General features: G+C 39.8%; 1 protein-coding gene across 1 annotated transcript in view; it reads left to right on the forward strand.

Annotated features, from left to right (window-relative positions):
* Positions 1 to 12,884, forward strand: part of FAM117B (family with sequence similarity 117 member B) — a 134,789-nt gene extending 121,905 nt beyond the window's left edge. The window contains exons 6-8 of the mRNA NM_173511.4: positions 340 to 565; positions 2,360 to 2,480; positions 8,573 to 12,884. Of these exons, the coding sequence (NP_775782.2) occupies positions 340 to 565; positions 2,360 to 2,480; positions 8,573 to 8,891 (666 nt within the window). The 3' untranslated portion in view covers positions 8,892 to 12,884. The remainder of the gene's footprint in view (positions 1 to 339; positions 566 to 2,359; positions 2,481 to 8,572) is intronic.
* Positions 12,885 to 13,787: the final 903 nt, after the last annotated feature.

Consider the following 13,787-nt stretch of genomic DNA (forward strand, 5'->3'; position numbering starts at 1 on the left):
AACCTAGTGTTACACCTAGATTTCATGGCCCTCATTTATAATTTTTAAAATAACCCTTAGCACACGATAAGTGATTCAGTACAATTCATTTATTCAGCAAGCATTGGCCACCTGCTGTATGCCTGGCCTTGGGAATACAAAGTCTTCACCGAAGACTCTCAGTGTGGGGGTCAGATTAGACAGGGATGTCACTAACGTGCAACATGAAATCCTAATAAGTAGGAAGGGATTTCTGATTTGTGAGTCTCTGGCACTATATGGGAAGGTTGACATTGGGTTCATTGCTGGTGATTCGAAATTAATTATAAATATACCTATGTTTTTACAATTTTGTAACAGCCGCAAGATATTCCAGATGGCCATCGTGCTCCACCCCCCCTTGTACAGAGAAGTAGCAGCACGCGCAGCATTGACACACAGACGCCTGGTGGGGCAGACAGGGGAAGCAACAACAGCAGCCGTTCCCAGTCCGTGTCCCCAACATCGTTCCTCACCATTTCCAATGAAGGTAGCGAGGAGAGTCCTTGCTCAGCGGATGACCTGCTTGTTGATCCCAGAGATAAAGGTACAGTGCTGGAGGAATGTGCTACTAGATGATAATGGAATACCTCCTCTTGTATCATTCATTCTATTCATTTTCTAGCAGAACACACACACTCGAGGCTACTCAGTTAATGTGTTCAAAGCCTAGGTTTTCAATTTGGAGTGTAAACAGGTTTGACTGTCATGCTCAGTTGATGGTCTAGTTGGGCAAGTTTATGAGCTTTTGTTAGTTTGTAGCTCTTTTTTTGCACTTGTTAATACAACTTCCTTATTGGTGAGAAACATTCTTTTTGGAATAAATGAGATGAGCACTTGCTCTGAAAAGCACTTTGGTCTCTGTCACCTGATAGTCATGATTTTATTACCTTAATGCTTTTTAAATCAATACAAAGCCTTCAAGTTAGTGTTTTTTAGGATCTGTACTTGTGACATTTTAAACAAGGATTAAACAGATTTATATCAATGCAGGATGAGTGTTTAAAGCAAGCCTGATGTAAAACGTTGGAGGGTACTTTTAAAAATAACCTTAAAATACCTTAGAAGTTACTTGGAAATAGAAGCAGTTTGAATGTTAATTACAAATATTCTTGCCTTTTAAAACAAATATTAGCCTTGCATCTATGTCAGGACAGTATTTTCTTAGCCTAATCCTGGTTACGTTGTGTACTTGAAAGCAATAATAATGACATTTATTTATAAATTCTAAAGCTCAGTTCAGTAGTCATTTATTTAGAACCTCCTCCATACAGTGTGTTGAATGTCCTAAAATGCCCTGCTGTTAGGACTGGCTGCTACTACTACTCATCACCTAAGACATTAAAACTGTGACAAGCGCAGAAGACAGACGATTCACTGAAGAAGTTACTTTAAACTGTGGGAAGTTGTAAACTGTTACTCTTTGGACTTTTATTGCTAGCTTCTAGGTCTGATAAAACACGGGTCAGATAAAATCTGGCCCTTGATTTCCCATACTTTCTACTTCTACGTCAATAACATGTAGAAAGTCTATAAATAAATAAACTCAATAAATGTTGTGTCCTGATCCATTTGATTTTAGTAGCTGGTTGGCCTCTGTGAATTTCTTTTGTAGGAAAACTGGGCTGTAGTGCTGCTGCCAGCAAGGAGTTTGTAGCTTAGCTGGTACAGACTGAAAATTTAGAACAGATATTTAACATATTAAAATTTTTAAGTTAATATAAATTGAGGATATCAGCACTAAACAAGAATATCAGAGTAAAGAAATGTTCCTCCTGATAGGGTTAATTTAGAAAGATTTCAAAAAACTTGAGTCAGAGCCAGACTTTGAAGGACCTTTTGGAAAATAAACAGAACTTACTCCTTTTAGGTAAGGGGAAATTCATAGGCAAAAAAAATGTTTGGCATCCGGTAGCTCTCACTACCTGGAGCAAAGATTGTAACCAGCGGAGCAGAGAAATCAAACTGAGAAATTTTGAAGCACAGGCCAAGAATTAGTCATCAGCAACCAATGAAGAACCATTTCAGATATTTGTACTGGGAAAAATGGAAGTAGTGTTTGAGTGCATTTGTTTTGTAAAGAATAGAAATAAGGCAGCCAGCTAGATCAGTGTTCACTACTGAGGATTATGTGATACAGGCCTAGGCTATGGTAATTGTAAGTGGAAGTGAAATAAATATTTTATTTGTGTGTGCATTTATTTAACAAACATTAATTATCTCCTTGATTAATAAAGCACTGTTCCTGCCCTCAAGTAGTTCATGGTGGGCTAGTCCAAGAACAATTAAATATAGTATGACTATACATTTATGTAGTAATCTAATGTGTCATTTCTTGCAGAGAATGGGAACAATTCTCCTTTGCCCAAATATGCAACCTCACCAAAACCTAACAACAGTTATATGTTCAAAAGGGAACCTCCTGAGGGCTGTGAAAGGGTCAAAGTCTTTGAGGAATGCTCGTAAGTATCCCTTCCACCATCCCCACAAAAAAACTATTATGAGCTTTTTTTTTTGAGATAGGATCTCACTCTGTCATCTAGGCTGGACTGCACTGATGCAGTCACAGGTCACACTGCAACCTCTACCTCCTTAGCTCAAGTTATCTTCCCACCTCAACCTCCCAAGTAGCTGGGAATACAGATGCACACCACTAGCCTGGCTAATTTTTTTTTTTTTTTTTTGAGACAGAGTTTCACTCTGACACCCAGGCTGGAGTGCAGTGGCACAATCTCAGCTCACTGCAATCTCTGCCTCCTGGGTTCATGCCATTCTCCTGCCTCAGCCTCCTGAGTAGCAGGGACTACAGGCGCCTACCACCACGCCCGGCTAATTTTTTGTATTTTTAGTAGGGATGGGGTTTCACCGCGTTAGCCAGGATGGTCTCAATCTCCTGACTTCGTGATCCACCTGCCTCGGCCTACCAAAGTGCTGGGATTACAGGCATGAGCCACTGCGCCTGGCCTAGCCTGGCTAATATTTTAAAGTTTGGAGAGACAGGGTCTCACTGTGTTGTCCAGGCTGGTCCCAAACTCCTGGGCACAAGCAATCCTCCTGCCTCAGCCTCCTGAAGTGCTGGGATTGCAGGCATGAGCCACTGTGCCCAGCCTATTATCAGCATTTTTAAGTAAGCTGAAAGAATAGTATAGTGATCACTCATATATCTACAACTCAGATTAGATAATAGCTAACATTTTGCAGTATTTGCTAAAAGTAACCACAGTACTACTATATAACCACAGTACGATTATCTTAGAAAGTTGACAGTAATGCTTAATATCAGCTAATATCCACTTGTTACTCAAATTTCTTTAGTTGTTTGCAGAATGTCTTCTGTGGCTGTCATTTGTGAACATGTATCCAGTCATGTTTACATGTTGAATTTAGGGGTATATAGGTTTGGCTGCTGCTCCTGAACGGGGGAGGTCCCAAAGGTCTCAGCAGCGTGGGAAGGCTAGGTCGGAGTTCCTGCCGAAGGGACCTGTGTGGTGCTGCTGAACCACTGTGATGTGGCATCTCCTTTCACCGAATTCCACAACAGAGTTTCCAGGGCTGGGGATGGTATTTCTGCCTCCCCTCTTTGTCTTCGCCTTTCCTTGGGGATATTTTTCCTTTCATGTATTTACCATGCTTCCCATGGGTTAAGGCAGTGTCTTGTCAGGGAACCCAGGATTGTGGGGAAGCTGGTTGTCTAACCCAGTCTCAGTTTTTCTAGTGTAGAAGCCATGAATTGTGCTGGGCAGAATAAGGGTAGGGTTGTCACAGATGTGGAAGTCTGATTCTCAGTTTTTTCACTTCTCTGTGGCCCCAGGAACTGTCTCTTCATATTTGAATTCTAGGATATTGCTAGTAATCATCTCAGTAATACGTATTTGTTTTTGGTTTTCTGTGGCAGGGAGTGGAACCATGTGTTTCTTTGCCACTATTTTGGAACTGGAAAGCAGAAATGGGCTCATTCTATTAGGTTAAAATCTGTTAGCCCAAATGTACTTTTTTGGAGTTGTGCCTGCCCCCCTCCACTGCCAGCCCTGCTGAGACAGGTTCTCACTCTGTCACCCAGGCTGGAGTGCAGTATTGGAGTCAACAGTTCACTGCAGCCTTGACCTCCCCGGGCTCAGGCAATTCTCTCACCTCAGCCTCCCAGTTAGCTGAGACCACAGGCATGCCACCACACCCAGCTAGTTTTTGTAGAGATGGGGTTTTGGCATGTGCCCAGGCTGGTCTTGAACTCCTGGGCTCAAGTGATCCACCTGCCTTGGCCTCCTAAAATGCTGGGACTATAGGCATGAGCCACTGCATCCGGCCTGAGTTGAGCTCTTTGATTTACTCATTGGCCCTTAGGATTTGCCTAAGTGCTAAATGTAGAGATTTGGTTGATTGGCTCCAAAGCATTTTGATTGTTTTTAAGAAATGACTTTAAATATTTGTTGGGTGGTGTCCTGTGGTACCTGCCTTAGACTATTGCATTTGGAAAGTTTCTGAGGACTCAGTGTCTGAGCTATGTACTACTACATTATTTATCTTTAAAGGGAGAGAAGAAAAGACCAGAGAGGTGTGTGTGTGTGTCTGTAGATAGATCAAACATAAGATAAACCCTAACATATTACATGGTTGGGTTTTTTGTTTTTGTTTTTGTTTTTATTTTTTTTCTTGAGATGGAGTTTCACTCTTGTCACCCAGGCTGGAGTGCAATGGCATGATCTTGGCTCACTGCAACCTCTGCCACCCAGGTTCAAGCAATTCTCCTGTCTCAGCCTCCCAAGTAGCTGGGATTACAGACACCCACAACCATGCCTGGCTAAGTTTTGTATTTTTAGTAGAAATGGGGTTTTACCATATTGGCCAGGCTAGTCTCGAACTCCTGACCTCAGGTGGATCTACCACCTCTGCCTCCCAAAGTGCTGGGATTACAGGCATGAGCCACCGTGCCTAGTCATGTTACATGTTTTATGGCACATTGATCTGTTAGTAGAAGGTAAACCTATTCTTTTTTTTTTTTAATGTAATGTTTATTATACGTTTTACTGGTAGAAAGACTGTGTAACACTATTAATATTTTAATCACGTTCCAAAGACAAATTAGCAGTCGTAACTAAGTGTGGATATCTAAGAAGTAATTTTAACCTTTTGTCAATAAAATAAGTTACTCAAAGTCTTTTAAAAAAATTAGTGTCTTTTTGTCCCAGATATGTCAAAATTAGAACAATAACCACCGTGCACACCACAATGAAAGCAAGGGTAGATTGTTGGTCCCAATGTAACATTTTAGCTTTAGCCATTCTTTTAAGAATACTTTTCTCACTAAGTCTTACTTTTGCTTTAAAGTACTAACTCTGACCTGAACTGGGGGGTCGGGATGGGGTGAGGAGTGATCTCTGATTTCTAGAAATGTGTCTGTTTACCTGAAAGAAAATAGGTGGTTGGATTTGGGCCCAAAAAGGACAAAACCAGATTTTGTACTTCCGTCTCTATAATCTTTTTGATAACAGCACATACCATAGCCATGTCATCTGCACTTAGTAAGTCCTTTTTAATGAAGTTGAATATACTCTTTCCTGATCCCAGCTAATGAAGTCCTTAGATTCTTACACATTATGGCTTCTTTGCAATATAGAGGCATTTTTAAGTTATATCTACTTTGAGACACAATCCTTTTAGAATAACTGCTTAAGAAAAAATAAAATTTTAAAAACAGCGTGAGTTTTTTTCTTTCTATGTATGGTTTGTAAGTTGAAGAGTGCTTTGAAGTAACGTTAGTATTTGCAGCTTCTCCTAGCATATGTGTAGGTCACATATCCTGTGGTGGGTCATGTTTTTCTTGGGTAATGCACTCTTAGAAGCCACAGAGGTTAGGAAAGTGATTCTTCTTGGTGGGCTGGGGTAATGACAGGAAGAAGAAGGCACAAGGAGAGTTTTTTTGGTGCTTTATGTTATATTGGTGTTAATGTTCTGTTTCTCGATCTGATCAGTTAGACAAGTTATTACTGTTTACATTATTTTGTGTGAGGTATATCGTAAGTCTGTTTTCATGAAAGCAGCAAGGAAGTTACATGGTTTTTAGATTCCTGTCATTAAAAAAACAATTCCAGATCAAAAACTTTATCTAAATCAGGAAGTTTGTACTTCAGAAATGTGAAGTTTCATCCCAGAGACCTATTAGCAGCCACGAGTCTTAAGTCTTTTTTTTTTTTTTTTTTTGAGACAGAGTCTCACTCTGTCGCCCAGGCTGGAGTGCAGTGGTGTGATCTTGGCTCACTGCAAGCTCCACCTCCCGGGTTCGCGCCATTCTCCTGCCTCAGCCTCCCAAATAGCTGGGACTACAGGCATCCGCCACCATGCTTGGCTAATTTTTTGTATCTTTTAGTAGAGACAGGGTTTCAACGTGTTAGCCAGGATGGTCTCGATCTCCTGACCTCATGATCCGCTCGCCTTGGCCTCCCAAAGTGCTGGGATTACAAGCGTGAGCCACTGCGCCTGGCCTTCTTAAGTCATTTTTAAGAAGATAACCTCAAACAAATAATTAAAAATCTAGCCCTCATTTGGATGGAACTGTTAAAATTAGCCTTTTCATTTTCTACAAGAAGTTTTTCATTCTACAAGAATGAAAGTTAACTTCGGTAATTCTGTCTTCAAAGGAAAATTTAAGGCATTATTTAATTATGGAAACATAACCTCAACTTCCTCAAGTTCAGTGTATTGAAAATCATGCTCTCAGATGATAAAAATAGAAGGGTGTATGTTGTTCTTATCAGTAATATATCCAAATATACTTGTGGCACTAAAAGTACTCAACTATTCTACAAAGAATAGTGCCCAAGTTGAACATAACCTACATGATGTATTTTTCTTTGTTCTTAATTGTTATATTTGCCAAAGCTCTCCATAGTGTTCACTGTTAATAAAAATCTGCCCACCTAATCATTGTCTACTTGGAACACACATCTTTTTGGTGTCCACTCCCCATCCGCTGTTTACTCATTCTTCAAAACCCAGCTCAGAGGGTTACTACCAAACCCTCCCTCTTCCTACAGGCCACAGGTTATCCACCCCCTTGTGCTACCTGTAAACCTTTTTATAAACCTCTGTAATCATGCCTGTTAGATTCTCTTGTGGCGGTCTTAACCTCTTCTGTGCTGTGGACAGCTTTGGCAGTCTGTGTGGTAAAGCTTGTGGATCCCTTCTCTGAATAATGTTTTAAATGCATCATATACACAAGATTATAAAGGAAGCTAGTTATGTTGAAACACAGCTCTGTCCCCATCACTCCTCACCCCACAAGAACTATAAATTTAGTCCACCTCCTCCTTGTGGATTGTTTCAACTTTGTATCCTCAGAATTTAGTGAACACTTGCATTTTTATTGAACTGATTTAGATTTTTTGTGTGTGTGTGAGACAGGGTCTTGCTCTGCTGTCCAGGCTGGAGTGCAGTGGCCCGATTATGGCTCAGTACAACCTCCACCTCCCAGGGCCAAGCTATCCTCCCACCTCAGCCTCCCAGGTAGCAGGGACTACAGGTGCATGCCGTCAGACTAGATTATTTTTTTTTTTAAGGTTTTTATAAAGACGAGGTCTCACTATGTTGCCCAGGCTGGTCTGGAACTCCTGGGTTCAAGTAAGCCTCCCCGCTCAGACTCCCAAAGTGCTGAAATTACAGGTGTGAACCACCATGGCTGGCTGATTTAGATTTTTATTGTCATTGGAAGAGATGAGAATCAACCTAAGTCTTGATTTATTTAGGTTCTCCCACCTTAGTTCTGTGGCATTTCTGTGTTGCTTTAACAATGTAGTTTTTTTATACTTTTAATTTTCATGAAATACCATTAATACCAATATCTTTTTCAACAATTTGGGTTAATTTTCAGGAGGACCTAGGAAAAGGGAAGGATTTGGCTTTAATAAAAAGCTTTCAAAGCAAAGGAGTTTTCATTTTGATTTCACATTTACATTATATTGCTCAGAAAACTATCAGGGTTAACTCAAAGAATTGTTTCCATCAAAGAGATTTTTACAAGCACTTGAAGAGAAAAGCCAGGCCTACCATAGTTTTAGTCATGCAGTGGTGGAACTTAGCAAAAGACGGACATTGTATATCTTTAATTTCCTTGCTGTCTCCTTCCAGTATACTATAGACCTCGGAAAAATCATGGCAGTGGAATATACCATACATAAAGGCATACATGTCTTTAAACATCTAGATTTTCTTTTGCTATAGGAAATTCATTATTCCCTTGACCGTCTTAGCTCATCATTGACATGCAGTGCTCATCGGGCTGAGCCACCTGCATGGTAATGGGGCTGTCAAGGGAACTGAAAGCAGCAATGATGATGGGGGCTTCTTGCATTCTAAGATACATATGTTGAATCATATGTCAGATAGCACTTTGGTCCTTTATGTTTGAAGGTGGGGGACAGAGCTTGAGTTTTATATTCCTTTTCTGTGATGTAAGTTAACTGTTTTTAAAAAATAAAAGAGCTTGTTTCCAAGCTTTTTTTTTTTTTTATTTTTTAAGTTCAGTGACTTAAAAGCATTGGGTTGTCTGTTCTATGTCTAGGCCAAAACAGCTTCATGAAATCCCAGCCTTTTATTGTCCTGACAAAAACAAGGTGAATTTCATTCCTAAAAGTGGATCTGCTTTCTGCCTCGTCAGCATCCTCAAGCCACTCCTTCCTACCCCGGATCTTACACTCAAGGGCTCTGGCCACAGCCTGACAGTCACCACTGGCATGACAACCACTCTGCTGCAGCCTATTGCTGTGGCCTCCCTGTCTACAAACACAGAGCAAGACCGAGTCTCTCGAGGAACAAGTACAGTCATGCCATCAGCTTCTCTACTCCCACCACCAGAACCAATTGAGGAAGCTGAAGGATAGGTCACAGTGCAACGTGGCTGTTGTTCTGGGAAATTGGGAACCTCCTCAGATCACTGGATTCTGATGGCATCGTGCGCTTCTGGTCGGCTGTGATGTGCTCCAGCTTTCCAGTGACATGTGACGGCGAGGCTTCTGGAAGAAAGGATCCCCCGTGACGGCTCTGCCCCACTTGTGAACGCCAACCCTCAGTGCTTAGCCTGCTTTTTATCAAAGCACTGATTGAAACAAGAAAGGTCTCATTCTTTACCTTTGGAGAGACAATATCACGTTTTTGTTTTCGAATTAGACTTCTTTAAAACACACACACACACACACACACACACACACACACACACACACACACCCCTGATCCTTGCCAACATGATTCCTAAAGGGAGATGTGACTGATGCTGCAAGAACCATCTTTTCTATGAAAATGACTATTTTATAATATACCAATGTTACATTTTCTGAAACGTAGCAAACAGGATATTCAAAAGATTCTTTGGTGGCCTCTGTTTCTTGTTCCCTTTCTAGATGTGTGCTTTTCTCAGCTGTTTTCAGCTTTGGGACCAAAGGGATTGTTGACGTTTTCCCAGCAATCTTAATCTCATGACTATGTTCTTCTCCCAAACAAGGATTGATAGGTAAATGCATTGAACAAGTATATATAAAAAGAGATTAAAAAGCAATATTCGTACATTATGTGATTTATGTTTTTGATGTCAAAAGTTTGTGCTTTGGGTGAAATATTTGTATAACTGCTGTTTTCTTCACTACTCCTGTACACATTTCACCATGTGGTCAGAAAAGTTGTAGTCTGAAGACAAGTGCTTTAATATGTTCTCACCCATATTGGAACTTGATTTAAAAGTCAGTGAGCCAAAAGGAAGCTATCCAGCGTTGATTGCTAGCTAAGAGTAAGGAGCCCCTTTGGTTTTCTGTGATATATATATATATCACACGCTCTCCCTCCTTTACCACAGGTGTCATTCTACCTTTAATCATCACTGTATCATAGCCCCAAAGAGATCCTGAAATGGCTGTGCATGGATTTCCTCCTTTGCCCTTGTGATGTTGTTGTCTTGTGGATTTGGTTGGGCTAGTAGTTTGCCAGGAGTGTAATCCAGTGGATAGTGATCCAAACTGTAGCCGCAGAATCCTGTGACTGACATTTTTCTTTGTGGTGGTGGTTGGCCCTGAGATTTGTTGCCTACAGATTTTGCTAATTTACCCCCCTAACGCTTCACATAGTGGGGAAAATACACAAGAAGAACTTGAGTATGAACGATAAGCACCTTTGAAAACTCCATACAGTTTTGGATTAGGGCTCATCCTAATATAAATCACTGCCAGTATCACATGACATCAGTATGTGATTTCTGGGTATGTGGTAGTGAGATTAAGGAGCAGCTTTTTTTTTTTTTTTTTTTTGAGACGGAGTTTCACTCTTGTTGCCCAGGCTGGAGTGCAATGGCGCAATCTCGGCTCACTGCGACCTCTGTCTCCCAGGTTCAAGCAGTTCTCCTGCCTCAGCCTCCCAAGTAGCTGGGATTACAGGCATGCACCACCACACCCAGCTAATTTTGTATTTTTAGTATATATGGGGTTTCACCATGTTGGTCAGGCTGTTCTTGAACTCCTGGCCTCAGGTGATCTGCTCGTCTTGGCCTCCCAAAGTGCTGGGATTACAGGTGTGAGCCACCACGCCCATCCAGGAGCAGCTCTTTTTTTAAAAGTGAGTTTCAGCAAACAGTATTGAATAAAAGCATCCTTTTCATATCTTCATATACTACTTTATGATGCAATAATTTACTGTTCCTATACATATTATAAGGTAGAAAAAAGTTTTTAAATCCTTATAAAGAGGATGCAGTTTAGAAGGTTAATATGTCAGCTTACCCAGACATATTCTATCAAGGAAAACCTAGTGGTAGCAATAAATCTTTGGAAAGGACTTCTTATACTCATGTACCTTTAAAACATCTAAGCAATTTAAAATAATCCCTGTTGAGTTTAAATTCGAGATGCATTTAGGTAAATTGGATAAATTCAACATTTGAATAAATCCGTCAGGTTTTAGATGGTGGGATTGATGAACTTTGGTACTTTCTCAATCCAAAACTAATTTATTTGGAACTAGTACGTTATGGCTTCTCAGTCATGAAAAGCTCAGTTATTTGGGGTCTACATTTTCTCACTGAGAGCCTTGATATTTTGCCTTCTTTGTTATGCATTATAACTTGACTGTATCACCACTGAGTATCTGCTGTATCAGAAGTTCAGAAGAAAAGGTAAAACTGAAATCAGAATGGGGGTAGAGGAAGTTAAAAACAAGTTATTTAAAAAGAACTCTTGGTTTTTGGATGACTTGAATTCTGTTAAATCTGTGTTCTTGGCCTTGCACTTCCGTTCCTCTTCCATCTCTATCCCTGCTAGTCACAATGGCATTTTAGAACTAGAATGCCACTCTGTAGAGGTTTTCCCTTTTGCTCTGTTGTGCCTATTTGTCTAATTCATATCTTTCTGTGGAGTTTCATATGTCCTTAATCTAAAGTAACTTAAAATTGGAATGGAAGAACAAGTTTCAGAATTATTTACAGTCTTATACATAGAACTTCTAGTGTAATGTTTGGTTGTAAGGAGAATGTGAATTTGCAGGTAAATGAATTGTATGGCAACCAGACAGATCCCTGGGGTTTGGGAGAAATAGAGCTTGAGATTTGAAAAAAAGGTACAAGGTACAAAACAACTCTAACTGCCAGTGCCAAAGGGCTAATTTTTAAGCATGTAAGCTTTACCACAGTCTTGAAAAAAATATTAACCATAGGTTCATTCAGCTGTTTTATTTAACCCTTAGTTCCCTGGTGGTTGATTTTTTTTTTAAATGGGTCTCCAGCTTTCCAGTGAAATGTGACACTCTCAATAGAATGCATAATGTTGGTTTCTAAAGTTACACTCCATAATTATTGTTATTCTGTAGAAAACTGTACAGAAGGTAAATAGAATAGCTTCAATGGGAATATAATTTAAATTTTTTTAATTTTATAAAAATTTATTTCCATTGCATTAAAAGAAATGGGTAGCATGTGTCTTTCAGAGAAAGGAGCTATTTGGTTATTCACTTTGTCAATCTTAGGTTTTTTTAAATCTTTAAACAATTTCTTCTTTGTGATGATAAAAATAATATAAATTTACTGTTTCTGATCATGACTGAGTCTATTACTTGTCATGGCTTTTGTACGCAACTGTGTTTTAAAAATACCGGTTTTGCCTCTTTGGTTACATGTGGTGAGCATGGATGTCAAGATTATTTTTCAACTAGATTATTCAATTTGTTTTATATTTCTTATACTTAATACTTATGACTACAGTCCAAATCAGTCTTTTAGAAGGTGCTCTTGCTAACTGTGGAATATTTGACGACATGAAAGTCCTTTTTCTTTGCTTTCAGTGGTTGGCTTTCACTGAAAGAAAGTGTAAAAAAAGTCAGAATTTATAGCTTTCACTATGTCCAAGACTAGGACTGGGTTATAAAGATTTTCTTTTGTGAAGGAAAATAAAAGAAAATTTGCCACTACTGCATTTACTTTACTATTGTAAACTTAAGATTCATTCCTTAGTCTTTGGAATTTTGATGTCTCAAAACCAGATGAGTGGAAGTGCTGAATTTGCAAAATAAAGCTAAGAATGCTTAACTCTGCACTTTAAGTTCTACTCTGACCAAATTGAAGATGAGCAGAGCAGCCCTGAACAGCATTTTGTTTATACAGTCTTGTTTAAGAATAGAATTTTTTTAACTCTTCATTTTTTGTCTCTGTGGAAGCTGTGTAACTCTTTTTAAAATGCAATTTAAAACATTTTGTTATTCTAACAATTCTCTCAAAAAACAGCATTTCCAATGGTAATCGGTATTGTTACGCTGTACTTATGTATTCCCTGTACCTGAACACTTGTTGCTGCCTCACAAGAAAATAGAACTTTTATGTTAAAAATAAAGTCTGTTCTTCTTGAGTTTTTTTCTGTGAATTTTTATGAATATTGTCCAAATTCAAGTTACATTTCTTTTTGGACTGGTTATTTATCTAGCTTTTAAGCGGTACATTGTTTTTCTCAGACTAATAGAAAAATTTGTTTGTGTTCAGCAGCAAGTTCCTTGCTACCCCTCACCTGCCCTAGAACTGAAAGTACCTGCTCTTTGGGGTAAGTGCTAGGCACACATTAAAATATAAGCAGCACAGAGAGATACCCACGCGTGAGGAATTCACTGCTTCAGAGTTTTGTTAGAGGTAACTTAGCTGGGGCAGTCACTTACATTCATTATAAAGTACATGAGAGGAGTTTTTTTGTTTTAATTCTTGGTAATTCAGCCATATTCTTCCTTTGTGACAGTGGCTTATATATGCAAGACAGTCGTTGGGTTTCAGGGGACAGTTGTTGAGTTTTGGGGATTTTGTCTGTATCCACACAGCAGAGCTGGTCAGAAGGCTACACTGTAATAACTTAGAAAGCAGGGACACATTTTAATGACATAAGTCACCACAGTAATTTGGTCACCAAATTAATTTTTTTTTGTTTTTGAGACAGAGTCTCTGCTGTGTTGCCCAGGGTGGAGTACAGTGGCACAGTCACTCAGCTCACTGCAGCCTCAAGCTCCTGGGCTGAAGGGATCCTTCTGCCTCAGCCTCCCAAGTGGCTGGGACCACAGGTATGTGCTACCACGCCTGGCTAATTATTTTATAAATTTATTTTATTTATTTATTTTCATAGAGACAAGGTCTTGCCACATTGCCTAGGCTGGTCTCAAACTCCTGGCCTCAAGTGATCCTCCCACCTCTGCCTCCCAAAGTGCTGGACTCAAGGGATCCTCCTGCCTCAGCCTCCCAAGTGGCTGGGACCACAGGTATGTGCCACCAT

The sequence above is a fragment of the Homo sapiens genome, chromosome 2 (assembly GCF_000001405.40).
Source record: "Homo sapiens chromosome 2, GRCh38.p14 Primary Assembly".
Taxonomy (NCBI): domain Eukaryota; kingdom Metazoa; phylum Chordata; class Mammalia; order Primates; family Hominidae; genus Homo; species Homo sapiens.